The sequence below is a fragment of the Homo sapiens genome, chromosome 9 (genome assembly GCF_000001405.40).
Source record: "Homo sapiens chromosome 9, GRCh38.p14 Primary Assembly".
In the NCBI taxonomy this organism is placed as follows: domain Eukaryota; kingdom Metazoa; phylum Chordata; class Mammalia; order Primates; family Hominidae; genus Homo; species Homo sapiens.
The window spans coordinates 122,202,453-122,229,809 of NC_000009.12; the positions used below are offsets into that span (position 1 = coordinate 122,202,453).

The window sequence follows — 27,357 nt, forward strand, 5'->3', positions numbered from 1 at the left end:
ACTAACTGGGAAATGGTACCCGTTTCCCAGGAAGGAGGATTACACTGTCCAGCAGCCCACATATTCTGGGAGCCAGGGACCTAAGCCCTTCACCAGAGAGCAGGAAAGAAATGGAATCCCATCATGTTCTGGATTTCAGTGCCAGCACTTCTACTTGCATTAACTTTATTACACAAATAAGACATTTACAAAGCACGACATGAAAGGTATGTAACAAAACAGACATTGGTTTTACAAAAAAAGTGCTTACAATTTTTTTTCCGTGTGTGTGTTTTCCCCTTTTTTTGTATTTAAATAAATAGTCTTGATGGCCTGTACGTTCCCAGGCTGCTCTTAACAGGGTAGTGGAGACATGTTTGAACTGTAACATGCTACGGCCACATAATCCACGCAAGGAATAGACCCTGAGGAGAGGCTCAAGGCAGAGTGTGTTGGGTGACCCTGGGTAGGGCTTGGTTGGCCACTTACCACATGGTTGCCACTGGGGCCTTGATGATCAGGAGCAAAAATCAAAGGAAAGATTTGAGCTCCAAGGCCAGGAATTGGGCCCTGGTTGCTCCTGTTAATGTCAGCGCCTAGCACAGGGCTGGGCACAAGTTACCACTGACTGAGTGCTGAGCTGAGCTGTACTCACCACGTTCTGAGTGGTGCCTGCTCTTTGCCCTCAGTCAGCTGTCACTGTCTTTGGAAGGGAGAGGAAGCAGGTTCCCTTCTTAGGCTGCACCTGTGCCTACCCTGCCTGTAGATCCCAGAGCAAGAATGACCTATAGGCTTTCATGTTAAGTGCCAACGTCAAGCATTTGAACTCTGAAACCTTATCCAGACTCAGTGAAATAGAGCTGCCATTGATTAGCAATGTCTGCCATGGGTAAAAACAGAGACAATGGCTGCGTATGTACCATGAACTTGCTTTCCCTGTCTTAGAGTCTCCTTCCAAAAGCAACATAACAGGTTAACCACAGCAGGAAGGCGGACTTGGGCTAAAACATGCTGATTAGCAACCTCTAGTGGAAAATGCATCAGGACACCAGGTAATTCTAGAATTACAGGATAAGCTTGGGACAAATGGGCATCCCCTGAAAACATAAATCATGGTCGTGTGTAGCCTGAGCCCTTTTGTTTGGGGTGGAAGAGTTGTAGCAGGATGGATGTTACGCAGCTGTGTCTGACCTCTGTTCTCAGGGGTGGGTGGGGCTGGCTCCAGGAAGTATTGATTGGGAAGCTCAGAGGCACCAGTTGGAATCCTGAGCTTGGCACACTCACCTAGGCAATGGGCACCCTCTCTCTACTTAGAGATGGATCCAGGGTTAACATTCTGACTGCCATTTCACTGGGCTCTGTTCCCTCTCCCCTATAAGGGATTCCCCTTCCATTGAGAAGACCTGGCCCAAGCACCACTATGAGAGGTCAACAAGTGGCCAACAGGGGTCCCCAACTCTAACCTGTCCAAACATTCAGAAGAGTCATGGCACAGATCGAATACCATCGCTGCTATGTTTCTTACATATATGCTGGATAATTAGGTGGGGGTAGGGTCTCTCCCTGACCCCAGAGTTTTCTCTTTCCTCTCCTTAAAATGGCTAGTGCCTCTTCTGGTCCAATATGTCACCGCCCTCTCCTTGATTTCCAAACCAATGGGGGTCTTTCTTCTCCCCATTCCCTGTCTATCCCCGCTGCCTCCTAGTCTGGGCAGGCCTCCATCTCTGCCCTATTAGGCCTCTCAGGGTTGGTCACTGTCTCTTCTCTTTCTGAATTAACTTGACATAACCAGACAGATGGAAATGATAAAATTAGAACATAGCTTTCCTTTGGGGACATCCCACAAACACTGTAGAGTTTTCCAGACAAAAGCAACAGAGTGGATAACATTGGGGGTTGTCAGCTATTCAGAATTCAGAGATGGTTCCAAGGAAGTAGTAAATAAAGGCCAATGTGGGGGAAAAAAACCTGTAAATGAGAAGGCCGTTGGCATCGCACAATTCAATTCCGCCTTTTGTTATTGTAATCAGCTGAAGTTGAAGAGGACTCCTGTTTAAATGGGAAAAACAGGCTGTTTCCACCCTGATTCCAGATTTCAGGGAGTTCTGCCTTCCAAGAGGAGGACTCTGTGGTGCTCCTGGTGGGTTCTGGTTCTCAGCAGGAGAGGGAAAGGCCAGGCCTCGGGAACCGACCTGGTGGTGGGCAGGATGGCGGACGGGGGTGGATGCGGAGGTGGGTGGACTCCTGGCCGCAGCTTGGACACTGGATCTCAGCGGCTGAGGGGCAGCTGTGGGGCGCCCACGGGCAGATGCGGAAGTGCCGGCAGCGTTAGTACTGAAAAAGGATGACCTGCAAGAGGAGGGCATGGGAGGTGGCTGAGCTGGGGGCCTGCCCCACCCTGCTGCCCCCCAGAGAACCTCAAAGGCACAGAGAAGAAGGGTGGACTCAGGGCCCAGATCTGAGTTTAAATCCTGGCTCTGTCAACTGACTTGCTGTGGGACCTTGGGCAACTCACTGCACCTCTCTGAGCCTGTTTCCTCATCTTTAAAACAAGGATGACAAAATCTCTCTCTGAGAATCAGAGAGATTCAATGAGATACAACAGCAGCAGCAAAAGCCTTCTGGGCATTTCACCCTGCACCTTCTGTGCCTGATTTCACGGAAGCCGCACCATAGCCCCGTGAGGGAGTTCCAACGTTCTGTTTTACAAGGAGGGCACTCAGGCTCAAAGAGGTGGAAGCGAGTGAGCTCGTGGGCACACAGCGAGGAGGAGGACCTGGCACTGGAGGCCAGGCCTGGCTCACAGCAAGCTCTCCCTACCAAAGCACATTGCCTCTACCTTTCCAAGGTCACCGTGACCATAGTGGCTGACTGCTTATTACCCACAGGGCCACGGGCTAAGCACTTCACATGCGCTTAATCTTCACATGCACGAAGCCTAGAAGTGCGTGGCTCAGACACACTGGGTGCCCGATACACAGTGGGAGATCAGGACTGTCTGTCCCTTTCCCCCTCCCACTCCCACCTCTAGCACTTGGTTGACATCTCACTGCTGCTGACACAGCCAGTTCCCTGAAGTTCAGGTCAAGGATCACTGGCTGGCTGGTCAATGGCAATGTGTCATTTCACAGTAAAGTGTGAGGGGCATCTGGTGGGCATGACTACATGGCTGTTCCCTTTTCTGATCAGGAATGTTACTTGCCCAGAACTGGTTATCACAAGGAGGTGATGGAGGAAAGCAATGATGATGATCACCATAATAGTGATCATGATCATAACCAACACCTGGGGGCATTTTCTGTGCACCAGGCTCTGTGCTGGGCTCCTTACACACATTATGCATTTATTCTCTGCAGCAACCCTACGGAGTGGGAACTATTATTATCCCCAGTTTGCAGATGTAGAAACCGCAGCTCAGAGAAACTAATTGCATTCCCAGATCTCACAGGGGAGGTGGCAGAGCTGGGATTCCGAGCTGGCCTAACTCCAGAGTGGCCAGGGTGGGCATTCCTTCCCCACCCTGGCCACTGCTCCACTTTGGCCTCCAGAATGCCTGGCTTTTAGCCCTTATTAGGAAAAGCTCTCTCAAGAGTGGCGACCCTGGTAGGACCCTTCCCCTCCATGGGTCTCAGTCTCCTCCACTGATCAATGACAGCTTAGCCCTGATTTCTAAGAACTTTCCAAGTGTTGGATTTGTGGGATCAGGGGACACAACCAGGAAGAAATGTGGCTCTGGAACCTCACAGGTGTGTGTGGCCAAATGACGATGCGGTGGAGGCAGGGGATGCTCCCCTGAGTGCTCAGAGCACTGTTCTCCTGGCCAGGCCAGTGCTGGTCTAGATGAGTGGGTTCAGGGGCCAGCCCCATGGGGACACTGAGTCTCCTCACAGCTAGGCAGGCTCAGGCCTGGAAGGACTTGGAAGAAAGCCCAGACAATCCTGTGCTGGCCACACACATACCACACCCTGCCGCCCACCAAGCCCCAGGAATTTGAGAGTTATGGACAAGAAAAGTCCCTAGGAGCTGGCGGAAAGGCCTGACAGTGAGAGGACAGAAGGTCATGAAGGAGGGAGAGACACTTTAATGCAGACTTTCTGGGTGCAAAGTTGGGGACACAGCCCAGCAAGGGAAAACTCTGGCTCAGCAGCCAAATCCAGAAGCCAGAAACTGTCTATAGCCAAATCTGACAGCCCCCAGCATGGCTCATCCCCCAGGCTGAATGAGACAGAACCACAAGCTTAGCTGAGCAACCAGGAGGCAAAGGCTCCTCTCCAAGCACTGAGCCCAGCCCTCTGTACCTCCAGGGCCCATCCCTGCCCTCCACATAATGTCCAAGACCCTCTTTCCATGATCCTTTGTTCTGTGGCCCCTGTCGGCTCTCCCCACTTCCCTGGACCTCAGCCACACTGAACGTCCCCCAGGGTCCCCTCCGGCCCAAGCTCCTCCATGCCTCTGGGCCTTTGCACATGCGGTTCTCTTGATGTGGAACACCCTTCTTCTTGTCCCCTGTCTCTCCCCTAGAGCTCACTGCCTCCTCTTCTGGGTCCTCTAAGGTCAAGTTTCTCGCCTACTCCAGCTGCCCATTCCCCTGCAATGTAACTGCCCACACCCTGTGCTAAGCCACAAGCTCCCTGAGGGCAGGGATCATGTCAGCTCACTTCTGCAGTCCCAGAGCCAGGTCTAATAGGATGAATCCCCTCCCACAGGAAGGGACAGCTCTGAGGCAGGTGGCTCTAGGATCCCGGCCAGTTCTGCCCATGCTCACATTGTGATTCTGGATGAGCACTGCTCTGTCTGAGCCTCCGTTTCTGCAAGTGTGAAATGGAGGTCATCGCAATCACCCTCCCAGGGAGACTATGAAGGATGAGGTCGGAGAGAGGGCTGTGTACACAATGAAGTGCTGCACAAAAGGAAGTGATTACTGAGCCGCGCAGACTTCAGAGTCCGACAGACTCGCTGCATCCCTGGACAAGTCATGTCACCTCTCGGAATCTGTTTATCTCTTTACAATGAGAAGGCCATCTCTATGTCCACAAAGTGGCTGGGAGGTGTGAACCAGATGCCATGTGAGAAGTAGCTGCCTTGAACAGAAGGAGCTCAGCAAACGGCAGCTCTTCCTATGGATGTGACAGTCTCAGCGGCGATGGTGTTCCTGGGGCATGCTCACTCACTACAGATTCTGCAGGATTTTACGTTAGGCACTACCATTTATTTACAAATGTATCTGTCCAGGGCTGTCTGTACCTCCACACCATACACATTCTCCTGTGGTGCCCGGCACAGAGAGCTCAGTACATACTAGGTGTACTGAGCTCAATCAGGAGGCTGAGCCAGAGGTACCATCCTAAAGGAGCTGTCCCCACCCCGGCTGCCCGTTAGAATCACACAGGCTGAGTATTACACTCGCAGATCCCTATATCCCACCCCAACAGACTCTCTGAGAGCGAGGCTTAGGAATCTCTGTATATTTACAAGCTGCCCAGGTGATTCCGAGCACACCAAGACCGGGATCTGCTGAACTGGAGGGCTCCTGACTCCAGCCCTAATGCTCTGACCCTCTCCCTCCGAGGGACTGCCACACCCACTGACCTCCAGGGATCCCTGCTTCCTACTGGGTGTCCTCCAACCCAGCAGTCTCTGAAGACTGCTACAGTGATGTTTCTGCAGCAGGCCCTCCAGGACCCCACACTGCCGCAGCATAAAATACAGACTCTTCCACCTGGCAGCCTCAAGGCTCTCGCTTTCCTCCTCTCATCCTCCCAGACATGCCTGCCAACAATGCTGAATGGCTCAGGGTTCCCTGAGAGCTCTGGTGTCTCATGCCTTCCCTGATGCCTCAGCTTTCAGGCCTGGCCTTAGAGGTTGCCTCTTCTGGGAAGTCTTCCCTGCCTCTCTCCTTTGCCCCCTTCCCCCTCCCCAGCTCCCATGGCTTCCCCTGTCACACTGTATTGTAACTGTTGGGATCTGCCTCCCCCTCCAGACTCTGGCCTCCTCAAGGGTAGGGACCACACTTTACTTGTTTCCACTCCTAGCAACAGATTCATGGATGCTGGGCACAGACAAGACATAGGAAATGTCTCCAAATAAACAAGTCAGTGAATTAAAAAATGTAAGGTTCGGCCGGGCACGGTGGCTCACGCCTGTAATCCCAGCACTTTGGGAGGCTGAGGCGGGTGGATCACCTGAGGTCAGCAGTTCAAGACCAGCCTGGCCTACGTGGCGAAACCCCATCTCTACTAAAAATACAAAAAAATTAGCTGGGCATGGTGGTAGGCGCCTGTAATCCCAGCTACTTCGGGAGGCTGAGGCAGGAGAATCACCTGAACCCAGGAGGTGGAGGTTGCAGTGAGCCGAGATTGCGCCATTGCACTCCAGCCTGGGCGATAAGAGTGAAACTCTGTCTAAAAAAAAAAAAAAAAAAAAAAAGCAAGGTTCTCATCCAATCTCTGACTTTGAGCTATCTGGGCCTCAACGTTCCCATTTCTAAAATGAAGGGTTGTCTGACAGCACTGGCTTTCGAGGCTAACTGTGAGGTGTCTTGGAGCTGGGAGGGAGGTAAGTCTCCTCCTCTCTCCATGGTTTCAGAGCAGCTCCATCCACCTTCATCTGCACTATGGACAAGTTTAAACAAAGGGTTGCATTGCTTCAGAAATAATACCTTGAAGCCCTGGAATGGGGACAGCTAAGCACCCTTTTAGAAGTGCAGTCCTAAAGCCTGAGACAACCAGAAATCCTGGCTCCACAGAGGAGGCCCTGCCAGTTGACCAAGGTCACTGGCTGGCCAGCTATCCCTGAACCCCATCAGCTCAGGATATTCACTCCCAACAGACAAGAATGAAAAGGAGAAACCAGTGAGATGATGGGAAGTGGGGTGATGAGTGATATAAGCCCTCCCTGGAACTTAAAGCTTGAGTAAAGGAAATTCACAAATCTAAGACAGAGCAGGGCAAACTGCCAGTGGGGAGCTGCAAGGAGGCCTTCGGAGTGGCCATGCACACAGAACACACTAGCAACCACCGCTCCAGTGACTGCTGTGGGGGTGCGGTGGGGGTCTCAGCAGGCCGGGCAGACAGGGTCTGCCACAGCGCAGCATGGTACCAAATGGTTAACAGAGGATGCTGCCAGAAACCCATCCCCAGCAGGGTGGCTCTGACCCACCAGACCCAACCTGGCTCCATTTACCTTCTCACCCCGGTTGGAGAGCGGCCCATCCATATCGGCTTTGAGGTGGACGGGGGGTGCGGTGTAAGGCAGCCGGCAGTGCACCTGCCCGCACTGTACCTGACCTGTGGACGAGAGGATGCCTTGGAGCTCATCCCCCAGGCTGCACACAGGATCCCACCTGCCCCGTGCTCTCTACAGACTGGAGCCCTGAAACCAGTTTCATCTCTGCCACTTACCTCCTGGGTAGCCCTGGGCAAGGTTTCAGTAGGGTTGGTTGTGATGATCTTTTTTTTTTTTTGAGACGGAGTCTCACCTTGTCGCCCAGGCTGGAGTGCAGTGGCACGATCTTGGCTCACTGCAAGCTCTGCCTCCCAGGTTCAGGCCATTCTCCTGCCTCAGCCTCCCAAGTAGCTGGGACTACAGGTGCCCACCACCACGCCCAGCTAATTTTTTGTATTTTAGCAGAGACGGGGTTTCACCGTGTTAGCCAGGATGGTCTTGATCTGACCTCATGGGGTTTCACCGTGTTAGCCAGGACGGTCTTGATCTCCTGACCTCATGATCTGCCCGCCTCGGCCTCCCAAAGTGCTGGGATTACAGGCATGAGCCACCGTGCCCGGCCAATTGTGATGCTCTTTATAAAGAGCTACGTGAGAGTGAGGTATAACCATCTAGCTCACTGATAAACACTCCTAAATAAATATGTGTTTTCATATTCATGCGCATGCAAGCAAGTCTGTACCCTGCCTATTCAGGCCCTGCAAGCAAGGCTGTGCCCCATCTATTCAGACCCTCCCTCAGTAAGTTCATATCTCTTAGGTATCACCATGACTTTACCCATGCCTCTTAGAGGACTCTGTACTCGTATGTCACCTCTCTCTTTACGACTGCAACCAACACCAACACCTATCTCCTACCCTCCCTGTCTTCCTCCCGGCTTTATTTCCTTAGCACTTATCATCTGACTTAACTGCATTTTTGTTTGAGACAGGGTCTCACTCTGTCACCCAGGCTAGAGGGCAGCGGCATCATCTCTGCTCAGTACAACCTCTGCCTCCTGGGTTCAAGTGATTCTCCCACCTTAGCCTCCTGAGTAGCTGGGACTACTGGCATGTACCATCATGCCCAGCTAATTTTTGTATTTTTTGGTATAGAGGGGGTTTCACCATATTGGCCAGGCTGGTCCTGAACTCCTGACCTCAAGTGATCTGCCCACCTCGGCCTCCCAAAGTGCTGGGATTACAGGTGTGAGCCACCACGCCCAGCCTGACTTACTGCATATTTTTATTATTTATTTGATATTATCTGTCTTTGCCAACTAGAATGCAAAGCTCCACGAGGGCAGGAATTTTTTGTATGTTTTCTAGATTCTAGATCTTTGTGGATTTCCAGCACCTAGAGTGAGGCATGGCATTTAGTAGGTACTCTTAAGTATGTGCTGAATGAATTTCTATACCATATTCCAACATCTAAAACTGTTGGGGAAAGTCCACCTTTGGGTCGGATCCAAATTTCTCATGCTTCAGCCTGTTTATCACTACAGCGGAGAAGTCCATTGCTGGTCTCTTCTTTAGGCTTCATTCTCTTTGGTCACAGGGAAAGGGCATTGTAGAGACACTTACAACTGATATATAAACCGGGACAATTCACTGTGCCCTTCTGAGCCACAGTTCTCCCATTTGTAGAATAAAGGAGTTATATTAAATTGGGAGTTCTTCACCTGGGGTGTTCAAGGAGTCCATATACAACTTCAGATTACTTGGAAAATGTATGTACATCTGCATTTTTCTGGGGTCTGGTTCCAAAGCTTTTATCAGATTCCAAGCTCGAAGCCTCCAGGAAACTCAGTATTCTGTGACTTTAGTTAACCGCAGAGCAAACTCTACAGAAAAACTCATTTTTCTGGGGTCTGGTTCTAACACTTTCATTAGCTTCCCAGCTTAAGGCTTCAGAAAATTCACAACTCCATGACTGTAGTTTACCATAGAGCAAACTGCTGTGGTGACTCTCAGTCAGTCATGCAGCAGGAGGTGCAGGTGCACACACCCCCAACCTCTTCTTCCCCAAGCTGAGTTCCACCACAAGGGTAAGAGGAGAGGGCACCTCAGCCTCTTCTCTAAGCAGCAAAGACAGATCTAAGTTTGGTCAACAGAGTGTATGGACAGAGTCCTGGCAGGGACTCTGGAGGTCATGGCCCCAAGTCCAAAGGGATCATCTAGATTTCTTATTGACTCTACACCAAGTATTAGCAGGTAGCTCAGACCCCTGGTACTTATAGCGCCCCTGATCCTTGGCACCTTTAACAGGCTCTGTGCAGCCTGAATATAGTTATTGTTTAGAAAAGAAAGGGGGAAAATGTCGCTCCTATTGAGCAGATAGTTCAGAAATGGAACTATATAAAGAGACATGGTTTCCAACTGGCAGCCTGGTGCGAAGACAGGGCTCTGCACTCCTAGTTCTGCCAACCAAAACCACTCCCACCATCACAAGAGCAGCCAATACTTATGCGGCACTTGCTGAATGTTGAGGATTTTCAGTTACCTCGTTTGATGCTCAGAACACTGCTTTGAGATACTGTTGTCCTCATTTTTACAGATGAGGGAATGAGTATGCAAGAAAGCTAAGAAACTCACCCACTGTCACACAGCTAGTAAATGGCAGGGCTGGGATGTGAAGCCTGGCAATCTGAAACCAAAGCCCACACTCGATCATTAAGGCATACCGGCTCCCACTAACTTACAGTGGGCCCTTGGTTTCCTCATCTATTCAAGGAGATGGTGGCCTCTGATGTTTAGAGACACAGTCAGTAGAATATATGGCATATGGTCAGTAAGCAGCAGTTCTCTGTCTGATTTCCCTTCTTTTTCCCTCTTACATGGAGCCAGAGAAGGGAGGAATTGTGTCTGTGTGCATCGCAGTCATTTACATTTTTTTGGTCATGCCCAGCTTAGAGGAAACAATTGATGGGAACAACTTCAAAGGGAAAGACAATCTGTGATAGGCACCTGCTCAGCAGCAGATTCACTGAACACTCATCCTCCAGAAATCCCCGGGGCTCCTCCCTCACTCCTCCAGGTTCCCGCTCACAAGTCACTTCACCATGACCCGCTTGCCCCTGCATCTCCGCCACAGTACTCCCTGCCACGGACATGCCTGCTCCCTCCCTGTTACTTTATCATCTCCACCATCTCCCATGCTGGAGTGCAAACCCCAGGAGCACAGAAGCTTTGGTCTACTGTGTTCACTGTCGTATCCCAGTGCAAAGAACACAGAAGGCACTCAAGATATAGCTACTGAATGCATGAATGGTGTCTCACAACCCTGTGAGGCTGGCATTATTGACATCCCAGGTTACAGATGAGGAAACCAGGGCTCAAGGAGGTTAGGTGACTTGCCTAAGGCCTCACAGCCCTGGACACTCCCATCACACTGGCCTTCTGCTCCCCAGAACACACCCATGCCACGATGCTTTCTGGGCCAGGGCCTGCGTGCATTCCGTTCCCCCACTCCAGGTACCTCACTAAATCCTATCCATCCTTTCAGTCTCTGCTTGCTGAAAGGCAGCCCAGCCCCTTCCCTTCCACCCCGCAGCATCTCCAGTCACTCCTACCCAGCACCTTTCCTACAGGAATCATCCCACTTAAAACGACACACTCATCTGCCTATTTTTCCATGCCCACCAGAACGCAGGCTCCACAGAGTAGGTACCTTGTCCAGCCTGTTCTCTCCCCAGTCTCCGGGCACTGGCACATTGTGGGTGCTTTGAAGGCATTTTTTGAATGGCTGCTGAATCGCTTGCCTCTATGAAGGATCCCGCTCCACTGAGGCAGAGCCGAAGATTTGACCCTTCTTCCCCCAACTCCTAGATCCAAATGACTTCGGGTCCCGCTTCTTCACCCACGAGGCTCCCCAAGGCCCTCCACCCCACGCCTCGGCCTCAGCCGCCCACGTGCGCTCCTCCGCGCCCCCTCCCCGCAGGCCCAGCGGCTCCCGGCGCTGCGGTTACTTACTCTCAATGTAGCCGTGCAGGGTGACCATGCGCGCCCGCTCGGGGCTGCTGAACGGGGTGTAGTGGATGTCGTCGGACAGGGCGGAGGGAAGGCGGGACGGGGGCGCCCCCGAGGGCGGCACTGGGTGTTGCGGCGTGTGCTTTTTATGACGCGCCCGGCAGTTTTGAAACCACACCTGGAACGACAGCCTCGGCAGCCTCAGCCTCGAGGAAAAGAGTCGGACGCGCCGCCGGGAGACCCCAGGCGGGACTGCCTCGTCGCCTCCTGGAGAAGGATGGCCACGTGCACGCACCACCCTCCGCGCCGAGCCCAGCTACGAGCTCCGGGGCGTGCCCGCGGTCCCCAGGCCCCGCCCACCCCCGTCCCACCTGGATGACTCTCCGGCTGAGGCCCGTCATGTCCGCCAGCTTCTGCAGCGTCTGAGCGTCGGGGTTGTTGTCCTGCGCGAACTGCGCCTGCATAACCTGCGGGGCGGGGAGGGCGGTGAGGCGCTCGCACGCAGAGACTCCGAGACCCCGGCCCAATCAGCGGCGCCAGTCCACAGGCCACGCCCCAGGCAGCTGCGGCCCCGCCCCGCCACCCGGGTCCGGCCCGAGGGGCGGAGCCAGGAGACATTGTCGGCCCCGCCCACTTTCGGCCCGGCCCCCGCCCCCGCCGCCCACTGCTTGCAGCGGTACCTGCAGCTGTTCCGCGGTGAAGGACGTCCGCGCGCGCTTGGCCGGCTTGGGTTGACTGTCCTGTTCCGAGGGCACTGCCCCCTCCAACGTGAGGCCGTTCCCTGGGGGCGATAGAAGCAGCTGACCACGCGTCCCCATCTCTTCTAGTGGCAGCCTGGAAAGGACGGGGGTGGGGGGAGCTTGTCCCTGGAAGGGTCAGGAGCGGGAGTTGGCTGGGAGCAGGGATCCCAGGGTCCTAGTCCCTGAGCTCAGTCTTTGGGGAAGGGGTTTCTGAGCGTCCGCTTAGTACTGGACACTTCTTACACGACTGGACCACGTCTTACAGCCCTAAGGAGAGGTGGCGTTACCTCATTATACATGGGAGGAAACTGAGGCTCAGAGAGAAGGAAAGCCCCTGCCCTGGCCCTTTCAACTAGAATCCGAAAGCTAGCTGACCCTAATGTCCCAAACTGGGCTCCCTGCTGGCGAAACTGGGGGACACCAAAGGCTAGAGGAGATAGGAAGCAAGCAAGTAACGGAACTATGCTCCTAATTTTATAAAAATAAGCGGAAGGAAAAAAGGTTGTAAGAATATACAACAAGGTGTTGGCAGTGGTTTACTTCCCAGGAATGTGATTATGGAAACTTTTTACTTTCAGTATTCCTGTAACTTTTGAGGTATTTAAAAACAATCATATGTTGCCTTACTTCTGTAAGGTTTAATTTTGTTAACCGGCGTATATGTTAGATATTCTCTTTCCACTCATATTACTTTTACAGTCATACTAAAACACTAACCATATTCCCATTTTATTTTTAATACTTCATTGTTCTGAATATCCTCAAAATCTCAGAAAATTTCCATAAGCACAAAGAAGAAAATAAAAATCACCAGTAATTCCAGCACTCAGAAATAACCATTGTTCACAATTTATTGTAACTTTTTAATTAGGAAAAAATTATGTTGAAGGAAAAAAGCAAACATTGTAACATACATGGAAAAAAATCTGAGAAGATACACATTAAAATATGAAGAAGGCAGCATTTGGAGCAATCGTTATTTTCTTCTTTTTGCTTACCGTCTTTTCTAATTTTTCTACAATGAACGTGTGTGTATCTGTGTGTGTGTTATGTTTAAAAAGTGAAACAGTAGCCAATACTGAGGGCTGATCAGTAAGAGAGATCGGAGGCCCCAGCTTTCAAGTTCCTCAGCATGTTAAGTCTGTGGACAGGTGTGGCTGTGAGAGCTAGGATGTAATTGGCAAGGTTGTAACTACAGGTGGTCCTGGTTGGACCATGTGTGGAAGGAGCCTGTGGTCGCTGATGGACCACAGTGTGGGAAAGCTCTGACTCCTGGGTTTCCATCCCAGCTCTACTGCTGACTTGCTGACCACTGCAGATAATTTCATTGCCCATCACTGCAGATAAGCAGGCAGCAAGTGAAACCCAAGTTCACTAGATGCCCCCTTAGACCCACTTAGTCCTGATCCTGGCAGGAGAAAATGATGGCCCTGGTATGCCCATGGCCAGGAACACTCTTGCGGTCCCTGACTAGTCTCCAGGCTGGGACCTAGAAGTTGAGGCAGGGTGGTTCATACTCCTCCCCAGAAAAACTGGGGGTTGGGCAGACACTCTGTGGTATTAATGTCCCCTAGGAAAGCAGGCAGGGCAAGGATTGGTGTGTTGGTTTTTTAGATGGGAAACTAAAACAGAGGCAGCTACATCCCAGAAGCCTCCTTGGCTTTATGAGATCTGATTAAGGTGCCCTAGAGCTTAGGGCCAAGGTGGTGTGGTATGGTATGATATGGTATGGTATGGTAGTTAAGAGGCTGGGCTTTGGAGCTAGGCAAATCTACTAGTATGTAATTTTTGGCAAATCCTGTTTCTTCTTCTGTAAAATGGGGCCGTGCCACCTACTTCCTAGGGCTGTTGTAAGGATTACATAAAATAATCCCTGTTACAGAGAAGTTAGCAGCTTTCACAGACCCTAACAGGGAAATTAGAGAAAGAGTCCCTGCCTCTGCCCACAGCCAAGCACTGCCCTTTCCCAGCTCCATCCCATCTGTGACCCTGTCCCCAGGATCCGTGGAAGACCTGGATCTTGTTCCTGGGCAATCTGGGGAATCACAATGTCAGAGCCAGAAGAGATTTAGGGATCATTCTAGTCCAGTATCTGTCTTGCACAGATGTAGGGACTGAGGCCCAGAGAGAAAAGGAAACCTCATATGTCAACACAGTATGGGAGAGCCTGGTCTCCAGACTCAGAAACCTGGTCCTTTCCCCTTATAGTTAGAGACCCTGGTCCAGGATGAAAACCCTTCCTCAAACCTCTGGCTTGGAGCTGCTAGGATAGGAAATGGGAGAATGGGAGCCAAGTCATCTCTCCAGGACTGGCCCAAGCCTGGTCCCAGGCAACCGGAGGGGATGAGCCCCCAGGCCAATGAGAGCTGTCCAAAGGTGGAGTAGGCTGCCCGATTATGAGAACCATCTCTAGGGTTCACTGAGTGCCTCCTGGCTTTACAACACATCAGCTAGCTCATCTATCTTTGGGAAGGTGTTCTGTTGTTAACGCCATTTTACTGATAAGGAAACATAGTTACAAAGGAGGGCAGTGACTTCTGACTCCTAAGCAAAAGATCGACCCGGAAGTGCAAGATCTGTTCGCCGCCCCACCCCTACGCTGCCTGCGGGACTATACCGGGAGGGCCCAATCGGTAGAGGAGTGTGGGTGGTTCCTGGGGTGCTGGGGTGGGGTGGGGTGGGAAAGGGCTGGGGGCAGAGGTGCCAGGCGGAGCAGGTTGGGTACCGTTCTCGGCGGCCCTCTTGAGGTTCTCAATCATGGTGTCGTAGTGGATGCGGCAGAGCACCTTCTCCTCGACCAGGCCGAACTCCTCACCAGTGGACAGCTGGCGCTTGCACGAGAAGCAGGCGAAGCAGGCCAGGTGGTAGGCGTTGCCGCGAGCTCTCCGCACCCAGTCGCTGGCGTAGATCTGTCGGCCGCACCGGGCACACTTGGTCCCGAATCGGCTGCAGGTCGAGAGGACAGGCACGGGGTGTCGAGACTCAGACAGGCCAACCTTCCTCCTTCCACCACCCAATGGCCCGCCAGCCCCCAGGCTCCTGGCCTCTAAGTCTTCAACTCAGGCATTAGCCTTAGCTTGGACGCAACAACACTCTACACCTAGTCCCACCTAGGAGATGAACTGGTGGGTGATTTTTATTTTCTTCTTGGTGTTTTTCTGAATTTTCCAAATTTTCTACGATGGTCACTTATATTTGCATATTAATTTGTTTGTTAAAAATACATCACAAGTTAGAAAAAACACAATAATAGTAATAATAAGCAAGTTGTTGAGCACTTACCACTTGCCCAGCAAGATTCTAATTGTTTTACATTGATTATCCCAATTAATCCTCATTTTGCAGGTGAGGAAAATGGGGACTAGAGAGGTAAAGTAACTTGCAGGAGGTCACACCGCTTGCAATGATAGGAACCCTAGCGATCCTGCTCCAGAGATGAATATAAGCTATAGCGCCAGCTGTACAGAAGTGCAGTTTCTTAGATGAACAGACAGATAAGCACTTACTGGCTTTGTGACACTAGGCAAACTGTTTAACTCTGAGTTCTCGTTTTCCTTGTCCTGCACTGAACTAGATGACAACAGCAATGACTACTACTGTTTGTTTAGTGCTTTGCAGTTGGCTAAGTACCCAGCAAGTCCCTCTGGAGCCTGTGACATTCTATTAATAATACCAAATGTTAAAAAGACAAAAATAAAAATAAAAAGCCCAGATCGAATGTCTTCTTGCCCCTCAAGCCTTCCTTGATTCTACGACTTCTCCTTCTCCCTTCTGGTTTTGTAGTCTGGCAATTTGGGTGCAGCTGCCTCCAACACCAGACTGGAAGCCCCTCCAGGAGGCAGCGGAGTCTGGTTTACTCCATCCCAGAAGTCAGCCCAGGGCCTGATCCCGGGCACCAGGGAAAGTGTGTTCTTTAAAGTGGATGACTCACCTGTGACTCTGTCCCAACCCTAGCAGCCTGTTTCCTCTGGTACACCCTCTATTTCAGAGAATGGTGCCACCACTTACCCAGCCCCTGAAGCTTGAAAATCATAATCATGCACTCCTCTCTCTCCTCAACCCCTCATCCAGCCAATCATCGATGCTGTTGGTTCTGTTTCCCAAGTATCTCTGGGATCCATCTCCTTCTCACCATCTCCACTGTTGCCCTCCTAGGCCAGGCTCCCATCATGCAACCCTCACTGTCAACCTCCTCCCCGGTCTCCCTGTTTCCAGTCTCGCCCCTGCCAACCCATCCTCCACAGAGCAGTCAAAGCAAAGTTTCCAGCATGCACATGAAATCCTGTTTCTGCCTTGCTTACAATCCTATGGTGGCTCCACTCTACCCTCAGGATCTGGTCCAAAACCCTTGGGGTTTGCAAAACCCAAGCGACCACATCCTCTTCAGGCCCATCTCCTCCCTAACCTTCAAGATATGCCGCCCCACCATCCAGGCATGTGTCCCAGTCAGCCACAATGGAAGGTCACTCCCAGGTCTTTATGGCCTCCTCTGAAGCACTTTCCCACCCCCAGGCCTTTGCACTGACCTACCCTCCCCCAGAGTCCCACGGCACCCTGCACCGCTCTCTCAGCGCTGACCACACTGGTTTGTAAATGTTTCGTTTCTGGCTCTTCTCTTCCACCCCTTCCACCTTCCCAGAGTTGGGGTCCCGGGGTTGGGTGTGGGGGACCAAGAAGATTTGCCTCTGCGTCCCCAGGGCGGGCACCCCTCCACCCGGGGGAGCATTCGGAATCGCTTGTGTGTGCACGGAGGAAACAGTCCGGCAAAAAGGCTCTGGTTACAGCCTGCCTGCCTTGGCAAATTCAAGCAACTGTCAGTTGAAAAAAACAGCGTTGGGTTGGACTGAGTGCAGGAGCCCAGAGGCTTCTGCCAGTCTCCGCTCGCAGATTCAACCCCAACCCTACTGTCTCCAACGAGGAGCGCGACAGGACCCTTCCGCAGGCGGCGCGGTTCCCTCAGGAGGCGCAGAGCACCTTCGTTGAATCCACCGCTCCCCTAAGCACAGGCGGTTCCGGACCTCGGAAACGCGGCTTCCCCAGCGGAGTGCCCAGCCCAGACCACGGTCTCTGTTCCCCGTCCCGCAGTAAAGGGGAGAGGAAACAGCTTTGCCCAACCCAGCCTACTCCCCCTCGAAGAGCCGACCCCGGGTTCCGCCACCCGGCTGGTGGTATCCGGATTGGGAGCACTTTCTGGCCTCTGAGGGGAGGCTGGCTTCCGATTATTTGTGCTGCGGGAGGAGGGGGAGCCCAGCCGCGCGTAGAGACCTTACTACGGGCCGGGGTCCTGGGCCTCAACGTTGCGCCACCTCGGCTTCGTCGCAACCCGGTGAGGTGGGGACTCTGGCATCCGGTTTTCATAGGAGGAATCGAAGGTTCAGAGCCGGCGAGTGATTTGCCGGAAACTCCACAGGGTATGAGGCTGGGGTTGAGACCCCCTCCAAGGTGCAAAAAGTACCTAGAACCTGCGGAGCAACTGGACTGGCGACGAGGAAAGCTGGAATCCCGCATGGATGAACAGGAAGCGGGGCTGGTCTGGCAGCGCCGCGTCCTCTCTCCGGGCCGCTGATTCTGGAATCTCCAGCGCGGGGCCAAGGGCCCACGCTCCTGGAGAAGGCGGTGAGTGCGTCCTCAGGGAGCGGACAGAGCCGGAGCAGGAAAGGTCATGGCCATCAGAAGCCGGGCAAGAGCGGCTGAGCCTTCTGTGCGCTTGGCTCGTGGGATTCTTTCCCCCTTGGCCAGGGACACGTCAAAGACTCTCCGCGCACCGCGATCTTCCTGTCCCGCGAGTCCCCGACGCCCGAGTCCGTTCTGCGCCTACACAGGTAGGTCAGTCACAGTGTCCTCATACCCTTGGTCCGAGGTAGGCGCCGCTAGTGAACTCTCAGCAACTTTCTCATGCTCCGCGTGTCTCCCGAAATGCTGGAAGCTGTCCCAGCTCTAGGATCCTCCTGTGCTCCTCGTGGCTCAGCTCAGTTTACGAAATCGTCCTCGCGCCAGATCCTTGAGGTGGGGTTAGGGGGGATTATGTAGGTTTGGTTGCATTGCAGACTGCCCTGCAGCGTGTCCCTCACCCAGGACAGGAGTCAGCAGCACGAAGGGCGCGAGGAGGCTTATCGATCCAGGCTCCGACAGAACGACAGACTCCTTCCCAGGCGGGCTGCGAGGCCGGAGCCACTGGATTCCAGACACAGCGAAATCGGCGGCGGAGACAACGAAACTTCAAGAAACAGATGTGCAGGAACTGCCACCAGAGCACCAAAGGGATTAGGGGGTGTGTCCACTGCCACCCCAGCCTTGCTGTGAGGTCCGGGCCTTGCGTCCCTGGATCCCGGCGTGTGAAGGACCTAGGTGCAAAGGATGCGCGGCGCTTTGGGGAGAGGTGTTACTGCTCATCCTGGCAACTGCTAAAAAGAGTAAGGTGGGCGTCGCGCACCGCAGTGCCCTCTACCCCCTGAAAGGAGAGCAGAGATATCTGGGTACTCGTGGTTATATGAAGGGAGCCCTGCGCCCTTGACCAAGTCAGACTCACTTTCCCAGCCTACTATGCTGGATACCTAGTAAGCGCTTGGTAATTATTTGTTGGATGAATGAGCCTCAACGAAAGAGCCCATCTGAGTTTCACCTCGACCCCTTCTCCCACTATTAAGCTACCCCTTTTCTGTACAAGGAAACCAAACCTCAGAGTGGAAACGCCAATGTTAGTTACCAAGCTATTGAGCCGAGAGGCCGAAACTCAAACGGAGGTTCACTTATTTTAGGTTCAAGACCTTCTTGAAGGCTTTAGATCCTGTGAGGCGAACAAGGTGGGTTGGAGGTGGGGCCCTACCTATTCTCTCTGCTCCTTCCCTTCTAGGTAAACCCGTAGGGGAAGAAGCCAGAGGGGGAAAAAAAACCCAGAACCAGCAATTAAGAGGTTAAAACGACCGCTTCTCGGAGGTCCCGGCCCCGAGGCTCCTCCCCCAGCTCCCCTCTCGGCTCCCCCAACATCTGTCCCCCAACAGCTGGCCGCCGCTGGGCCGCTCTCTGCCGCGGTGGGGGGCCGCTTCCCGCTCTGCGCTTCCCCTGGGACCCTCGCTTTGCGGGAGGGGGTAGGCTTCTCCCGCTGGAGCCCGCGACAGAGCTTGGGCTCAAGGCGGAGGGCCAGAGAAGGCTAGGGGCTTGCATGAAGTCGTTTGGGCCTAGCTGGGAAGAGGAACTTTAGCCTCCAGGGCACTCACTGAACCCCCACCCCCATAAACACGAGGGGAAGCAGTTAACCCTTTACTCCCCACTCCCATTGTCAGAAGGCAGGAGGGCCAGGGACCGCAGTGACCTGATATTGACAAAGGTGCTCCATTCACAGGCCTCTGAGGTCACTCCTGCCTAAGTGTTGCAAGATCACCCAGGGAGCCACACATCAGAAAACACAGCGGGCGTGCCAACCAAACTGGGCAGGGACTCTTTGGATCAGCAGAGAGGGGCCCCACGATGCACAGACGGGTGGCTGATATATCTCACCTATAGAAGAGTATGGGGGTGTTTAGGGGCAGGGATGGCGGAGCCAGGCAGCTATAGGGCTTATCTAGTCTCTACCACTTAGCCCTGTGACCTCATCTCTCAGGGCCTCAGTTCCTCGATCCCACCCCCACGCCACCATACTGTGGGATTATGAGAGTATCATACACACAAGGTGGACCTGAGAATTAAATGAGATAAAGCAGGTAAAGGGTTAGCCCAATTCCTGGCTTAGACAAGAACTCCATACGTTATGATGACTGGTGTCCTGTGTCACTGTAAGCAATGGCACTTTCCCAGGACATTAGTCTCCCCAACTATACAGCAGGCATGATGTTCCAGCAGGCTGGGGGAGCCAGGTGGGCACTGCAGATCGGGCCATGCCCTATTGTAGGGCAGCAGCTGCAGGTATGTCTGGGGCTATGGTTGTCGGTAGCAGGGGAAATGTGAATGTCCCGGAAAGGAGCACTATTCTTCCTCCAGAATTTTCTTCCATTTTTGGAAGAAAACAGAAAGAAAAATGGTCTTCACCAAAAGGTGAAGAAATTAAGAGTCCTGTCACATTTTTCTGGTGGTATTTTTTTTTCCTGCTGGGAATCTCAGGGAGTAAGGGGAGGTAGAGATCTGGATAAACGCACAAGGGTTGGTAAGGACCCTGTTTAGAGTGTGAATTGGAGAAACTGAGGCAGAGTCCAGTGGCCTGGCCAAGGACACGCAGCCAATGAGAACCAACCTCTCCCAACAATGCAAATGAGCCAGGAGCAGCACTGGACCTCCATGTCTTCTCTAAGCTTTGCAGACCCTCTCCCTGGTGAACTTGGAGTTCCTTCCTAACCTTTAATTCCCTGAGCCACCAGTGCTAGCTCTGCCAATGGAGACTGAAGGAGGGTCTATAAGATGATGTCAAGGAGGGACAAGGTGGGGGATAGAACCTAGGTGACCCTCTTCCCTGGGGAAAATGCCAGAGGTTAGAGGACCATGGGATCTCCATGCTCCCCCTCCATGGGGCCTTGGCCACTCCCTTCCTCCCCCTTGCCCCGTTGGGAGCTCTTGGCCTCTCTTTGGGCAGAGTGCTCCAGTCCACATCCTACCAGACCCTTGACCCCGGGCTTCAGGAAACAGAAGCCTAGAGAACCTCAGCATGTGACCCCTCCCTGGGCCCCAGCTCCTTAGAGGAAAATTCTGCCTCCCACGCCACCATTCACACTCTCTCCAGGAAGAACTTCCTCATAGCAGCCACCCAGAGCTTGGGCTGCAGTGCAGTGCAGACAATAGTCCTTGCCTGGCACTCGATCGGCTTTTTCTTTCCCTTTTTGTGGGTTTTATTATTTTTGTTACAGGTGGGGCTGCCAGGGATGGGTTATGCCTGCAGGGGGAGAAATGATCAGAAGAGCCACAATTCTACCCTCAACCCAGGGAATGTGAGCTTTTACTGCCTCCATTTTCTTAACCAGAAATCTGGTTTAGTTTTGCTTTCAGGGCTCTTGTCATTGGAAAAAGATTAGTGCTCAGAACCTGCAGCCCAGAAATGGCCCAGTCCCATCCCTCCAGGCAGGCTCTGCTCCTCAAGCTGCGTGGGGAAATGCCATCATGGGCTTGTGCCCAGCATCCACCCTGCCAATGATGACAACAGTGATAATCGAGGCATTCATACCAACCACCATTTAGGGAGCCTTTATAGAGACTTCCCCCCAACAGTGGCCTCTTTGGCAGCTCTGGGAGACAGCCTTGGAAAGGGCGAACTAAGGGCCGAGAGAAGCAGCAACTTGCGAAGGTCACTACTGGCCAGACTGGGCCCAGTCTCCTGCCTCTTCCCACAGTGGCTGCACACCCTACTCTCTACCCCATTGCAGTAGGAAGAGAACTCCAGAATAAGGGGAGGCTCTGAACAGTGGAGTCAGGATCCGTGTTTTGACTAGTTTCAAGGTCTAGTAAAGCACAGTATCCAAGGAGGCTCAGTCCAGCATGGGCATGGGCTAGGGCTGGAGAAGTAGAAAAGAAATTTGGGCAAGTAGTGAATAAGACTGCCAAATCTATTGTTAGGAGAGCCAGGAGAGGTGTCCTAGTGGTGCCTTAGTCTATGGGAGAGACCCAGACACCATTCTGCTGGGTTCCCAAGCTGGCACCTTAAATTTAGTAGCTGATGAATCCAAGGAGCCCCCAAGCATCATCTGGCATGTTTTTTTGTATGTTTGTTTGTTTGTTTTTTGAGACAGAGTCTCTCTCTGTTACCCAGGCTGGAGTGTAGTGACGTGATCTTGGCTCACCACAATGTCCGCCTCCCAGGTTCAAGTGATTCTCTTGCCTCAGCCTCCTGAGTAGCTGGGACTACAGGCACGTGCCACCACACCTGGCTAAGTTTTGTATTTTTAGTAGAGATGGGTTTCACCATGTTGGCCAGGATGGTCTCGATCTCCTGACCTTGTGATCTACCAGCCTTGGCCTCCCAAAGTGCTGCGATTATAGGTGTGAGCCACCACACCCGGCCCATCTGGCATGTTTTATACCAACTGGAGTCAGGCCTAGAGCAGGGAGGTGGCTAGACAGTGACTGTAACCTCCATTTCCTGTCCTGGCCAAACCAATACTCAGATGGGACAGTGAGAGGAGACATCACACTCTGGTTACACACCATTAACCCCTGTCTGACTACACACACACACACACACAGCCGTCCAGATTCACAAATACGTTCTTATCACCCCCTTCATCCCTCAGTGCCTGGGTGGAGGCCCTTAAGCAGGAATGCCCCCTCAGAGGAGAGGGTGGGAGTGGAATGATGGGATTTCAGAATCCCCTCACCTCACCCTCTCACCTCCAGATCCTAGTCCAGATGTAATCCTGTCCTCACCACTTTGCGTGCACGTGCACGCACACACACATGCACACACACAGTCTCAACATTCACATACAGACACCCACTCTTGACACCCACACATGAACTAAAAGACAAACGTTGGTCCATAAAGGAACACACATGCTATCTACATACCCCCAACCCTGCCCAGTGATGCTTTCCCCAGCACTACTGCACAGATCCCAGACAATACAGACACACAGGCACTCCTTGCACACTGAGTCCTAGGCCACTTGGTTGAGCTGCCCCCACCCCACCCCAGCTGCACACTCTTCTACATCCATCCCATAAAGGAAGAGTCCGTCTCTTTAACCATGCTTCTCATGGTTTTCAGAGTACCCTTGCCCCAAATGCTGCCAACCTCCCCCTAGACTCAAGATCTTCTCTTTCCAGATCGCTGGAGGCTCAATGCCAGTGCACAGGAGGAGATCGCCTTCCACCATATTCCCTGACTCCCAGAGGCTCTTTCTAGGGCAGGGGTCTGGCCAGGAAGACTGAAGCCATGACGTCTTCCTGTGCAAGGATAGGAAAGATGTCTGTGGGTTGGAGGGTAGTTATAGGGAAGCAGCTTTCTCCACTTTTTGAGAAAGCACTTGGGAACAAGCATCCCTCTCAGGAAGTGATTCTCCACCATTCTCCTCTGATCCTATAGGCCTGGTGGTCCAAGCCTCAGGCCAGTTGATGCCTCCCACTGGGATCAGCAGACAAGGCCATGACCCTGCAGTGACCTCGACCCCATAATCAGGTCAGGTCCGGGCTTCATGGCTAGAAGCGAGGCCCAGGCGAGTGGCCAAGACGCGGCAGGACAGGAGGATGCGCCTGGCTGCTCTCGGCTGCTGGACGCGGCCTGCAGTAGGGAGAGCGCAGCCCGGGGTAATCCCACTCAGGGCTCCGGGTGCCCAGTTCTCCCACTTCCCATCCTGGCGGCCTAAAGGCAAGGCCTAGACCCTGGAGAGGCCAAAGTCGGGCCAAAACAACAGCGAAGCTGGGACTGGAACAGGCGCTGGGGGCCTGCGCATGACCCCAGGCTCAGAATGCGACACTCCAGTGACGCCGGGGAATGAGTTGAGATGGAGCCGGAGACAGAGGTTGGGGTTCAGGACGAGGCGCTTGGGTATGGGATCGGATCTGAGACGGTTGCGGCGCTGGTGCTTTGGGCTGGACCAGACTCGAACCCAGAGCGGAGCGAGGGTCAGAGCCAGGGCAAGAGTCCGAAGCCCAGCTCAGCGTCCAGCCCGCGAGAGACCCCACCATGAATGACGTCCGAGTAGGGTTGGAACTCGAAGCCCGAACGCACTGGAAATGCAGCCGGACGACGGCTGGGATCCGAGTGGGTCCGGGCCAGAAATGGGGACCTCAGAGCTCCACCGAGGCGCTCGAGGTCAGAACTGAAGCCTGAGACTTAGGCAGGACCCGAGACAGAGCCAGAGACGATACCGAAACCCAATGGACCGCGAGGACCGAAGGCAGATCCGGGGCGCAAACCTGTGCAGGCACTGGCGCGCTGCCTGGAGCTCTGGGTTCGCGCCGCTGAGCGCCGGCAGGTTGGACCAGCGCTGCGCGCCGGAAGTGCACTCGGGACGCCGGGGTTCTGGAGGAGAGACCACACGCCGCAAAAGTGGCCTCCGAATGCGCCCGGGGCCTGCCCTCGGCGACACTGCTGGCTCGGCGGCCGCAGCCTACCTGAAGTAGTCCATCTTGCAGAAGATCTCCTTGTTCTTGATGTAGCAGCTGTTCTGCTGCCTCAGCGACGTGCGACACACGGAGCACTCGAGGCACCGCACGTGCCAGATGAGGTTGTTGACCTGGGGACGGGGCGGGGACGGAGGTCGGCTCAGCGCGGGCCTCTTTCACTCCGGGCCCCAGCCTTCCCGGTCTCATTTACAGTCAGAGGCGCTGAAGCTCAGAAGGTGCATGCGATTCCCCTATTTTTCTCCCGTAATACTGAGACTCAGGGAAATGGAAATAAACTCTTCTTATTTTTCAGACGGAACCCGGGGGCTCAGGCAGACCCTAAGTCTTGCCCAAAGCTTCGCAGTCGGGCAGCAGTGGAGCCAGGATTTGGAAGTAAGAGGACCTGCGGTGCTTCCCTGCAGTCTCCTGCGCTGCGTCCCACGCCCCGACAACACGCACGCAACACCTACCCCTGTCTCACCTTGAGCAGATATCGGTCCAGGATCTCGAGGCCGCAGCTGGAGCAGATGTTCTTGCCTGCAGACGGCACGGAGGAGGCGGCAGAGGGCGGTGAGCAGACAGATGGCGTGCTGGGCGTACATGGGGAGGCCTGACCCTCGTCCTTGTCCAGAGCTCCTGCCAGGGCCTCGGCGTCAGACTGAGCCTGCGGCGGGGGAGAGAAGGAGAGGAGCGCTGATCCGGGCACCCAGAGTTGGGGCTGCCTTGGAGACAAATCTGGGGCCCCCGAGCACCAATTGACAACGAAATCTCCCCAGGACAATGCGCCGTAGACTGAAGGACAGGGATGGAAGGGCCTATTGGAGAGGAAGGGACGGCCCCAACTTTTAACACGCGCATTCTGGGTGCTGGGAGCGGTTAAAGCCAACATTCCCTGCCGGAAAACCGAGGCTCAGAGAGGGGCGGCGCCCGCCGGGAGTCCCCCAGAGCGTGAGCAGCAGTTCGTGGCCGGAAAACCTGGCCAGGTCCCCAGGGCCGGGCCGCTGGAGGACTGGGCACCGCAGGCAGGGCCAAACGGACTCACCATGGCGGGCGGCGCGGTCCCTTCAAGACAGCGGGTGGTCGCTTTGCAGCCGGACCCTGGCTGGGCCATCACCTGGGGGAGGGGGGGAGGGAACGCAGGCGGCGGCGGCTGCTGAACTGGCTCCGCACAGCCTGAGCCCAGCGCCTCCCCGCGCCTGTTATATAAACCGGCGCCGAACAATGAGTCCTAACTTTGTAGTGGGCATTTAAAGCCCTTCCCCACAAAAGCGGTGTCTCTCTAATGAAGCAATTTGAATTTGGATTGGATTTTTTCCCTCTCTCTCCCCCTCTCCCTGCACTTAACCCGTGGCTCTTGAAGTAATCGCTTAGTTCCCTTGCAATCCAAGCCTCTGAGGGGGGAAGAAAAACACGCGCACACACACACAAACTACCTGCAATTAGAAATTGTCGTGAATGCCCAAGATAAGAGGTAGCCAGAGTGTCAATTCCAACTGTCAATCAGTGAGATCCATCAGGCCGCCCAAAGAATTGCAAATTTGATTTTTTAATGGTAGTAATTAAAAATCGAATTTTTTCTCTCTCCACCCGCCCCCCCACCCCACTCCCCTTCCTCGCTCCCTTCTCCTCTCGGCACAAAATGCAAAAAGGAGAAAAGAGAGAAAGAAAGAAAATAAAAAAGAGATGGGTGAGGGGCGGAGGGTGGTTGAAGAAAAGAAAACCCCGAGCGCGGTGAGCACCCGCCCGCCCGCCCGCCTGACACGCGCGGCGAAATTGAAGCAGCTATATTGACACGGATTCAGGCGCCTTTCGAGGGCCAGTCGGAGGGAAACCCGGAGCAAAAAGAGAGCGAGATCGGGGCGAAACGGGACCAAAAAGAGAAAAGAGAGGCGCTCAAGGGGAGGAAAAAGCACCCTCCAGCCCCTCGGCGCGCCGGGTACCGGCCCCGCGTCGGGATTCTCAGCGCTGCGCCGGCACAACCCCCGGCGCATCGGCGCTATCAGCGCCTATTCAGACGGACAATACCGGCCTCGCCTCCTCTTGATTCGCCTGTGTCTTTACTAAATCGCTTTTTGAGAAATTCCTCCAACATTTGCATAATGTGTTCCCGCTTTCCGCGACCCCCCCCCCCCGCTCGCGCGCGCGCTCCCACACTCACAAGCACACACTCACAGGCGCACCCTCGTACCCCTCCTTCCTGCAACCGCCCGCCACCCTGCTCGGCCCGGCTGGGTCCCGGACCCTGCCCGACCCCGGCCCGGGCCGCTCACCCAGTCGTTCGCCGGCTCACCTGGTCGGTGGCGGGGCCGCCCTCGGCCGGCAGCCGGCAGCCCTCGGGCAACGCCGGGGCGGCGTTCTCATGCTTCCAGTACATGGGCCGGGGAACCTCGGGCTCAGCGGGCGCGCAGCGCGGAGAGCTGCGCCGAGGGGGACCACAGCCGCAGTGGGAGCAGAGGCTGCTGCAGGAGCAGGAGGAGAGCCGAGGCGCCGGCCCCGCCGCCCCGGGCCCGGCCTCAGCCCCCGCCCCCGGCCCGCGCGCAGCCCCGGCCTCCCTGGCTGCTGCCGCCGCTGCCTCGGAAGAAGGTCCCGACAAACTTGGAGAGGCCCCCGCCCCCTCCTTCTTCTCCTCCTCCCCCTCTTGGTAGTCCTCCTCCTCCTCTCCCTCCTCCTTGTCCTCCTCCCCCTCCAGCTGCAACGGCGGCCGCCCTGCCGCTGGAGCCCCGCTCGGTTCAAGATGAGTCATGCGTGACCAATCCCCTCCCCGCCAAGGGAGAGCAAGACACACACGACGAGGCAGAGACCCAGAGAGAGAGACACACACACAGACACAGAGACACACAGAAACTCAGAGCTGCCGACAGAGAGACTCGGAGACACGCCAGTACACAAAGGCACCGGCGGGCACACATCCACCCAGCTCTCACTACCGCTCCTCCCTCAAGGGGCACCCATCTTCCTCAGACACTGCCCCACTCACAGGTACAGGAGGGACCCATGGCCATACCATCTGCGGAGATAGATTCCGTAGGAGGTCACACGTTATTACACTGTGTTGATGCAATCCCATGCCTGGTACATTTGTGTACACACTAATGTAAGTGATTACCTGTTCACATCATTTACACGGGCACGAGGCACCACACTTACTCTCACACACCTGCACAGATACCTCTGCTCTATAAGAACCAGACAGTGCACCAGCTCCCAGGGACTGAGGTGAAACGGGAGGGTAGTTTCCCTGAATTCTCTTGGAAGGGATTGCTTGGCACATTCCCCTTCCCTTCAGGATTTGCTTAACCACACAGTCCAATGCCCATCCCTTCTTCTCTAGGGTTCTACTGACAATGAGAATGGTAGGGAAGGCAGGAAGGCCCAGGCATTTAGACAGAAGACACTGCCCCCAGACACACAGACACAGAACCTTCAAACCCAAAGATGGAGCC

The 27,357-nt window shown here is 54.2% G+C and overlaps 1 protein-coding gene across 9 annotated transcripts, besides 2 other annotated features; it reads right to left on the minus strand.

The window, feature by feature from the left end:
• LHX6 (LIM homeobox 6) lies at positions 130-26,505 on the minus strand. 9 transcript variants are annotated; one of them, NM_014368.5, is made up of 10 exons: positions 26,205-26,505; positions 24,957-25,028; positions 24,396-24,578; positions 23,924-24,045; positions 14,616-14,836; positions 11,831-11,931; positions 11,522-11,617; positions 11,154-11,328; positions 7,162-7,265; positions 130-2,328 (listed from the first exon to the last, which is right to left on the minus strand). In NM_014368.5, the coding sequence occupies exons 1-10, from the start codon at positions 26,286-26,288 to the stop codon at positions 2,308-2,310; spliced, it is 1,179 nt and encodes a 392-aa protein (NP_055183.2). In that variant the 5' UTR covers positions 26,289-26,505; the 3' UTR covers positions 130-2,307. The 9 variants fall into 9 exon arrangements, with proteins under 9 accessions (NP_055183.2, NP_954629.2, NP_001229262.1 ...); NM_199160.4 differs by lacking the exon at positions 7,162-7,265; NM_001242333.2 differs by lacking the exons at positions 7,162-7,265; positions 26,205-26,505 and adding an exon at positions 25,855-25,981.
• Positions 11,642-11,791: a silencer, noted in NCBI's record as "silent region_20240". NCBI's record gives its function as "represses an Ori minimal core promoter by ATAC-STARR-seq in GM12878 lymphoblastoid cells {active_cell/tissue: GM12878}" and the evidence as "EXISTENCE:reporter gene assay evidence [ECO:0000049][PMID:35858748]".
• Positions 24,232-24,737: an enhancer, noted in NCBI's record as "H3K27ac-H3K4me1 hESC enhancer chr9:124988963-124989468 (GRCh37/hg19 assembly coordinates)". NCBI's record gives its function as "activates a minimal SCP1, AML or CMV promoter by ChIP-STARR-seq in naive H9 embryonic stem cells {active_cell/tissue: H9 hESC(naive)}" and the evidence as "EXISTENCE:reporter gene assay evidence [ECO:0000049][PMID:30033119]".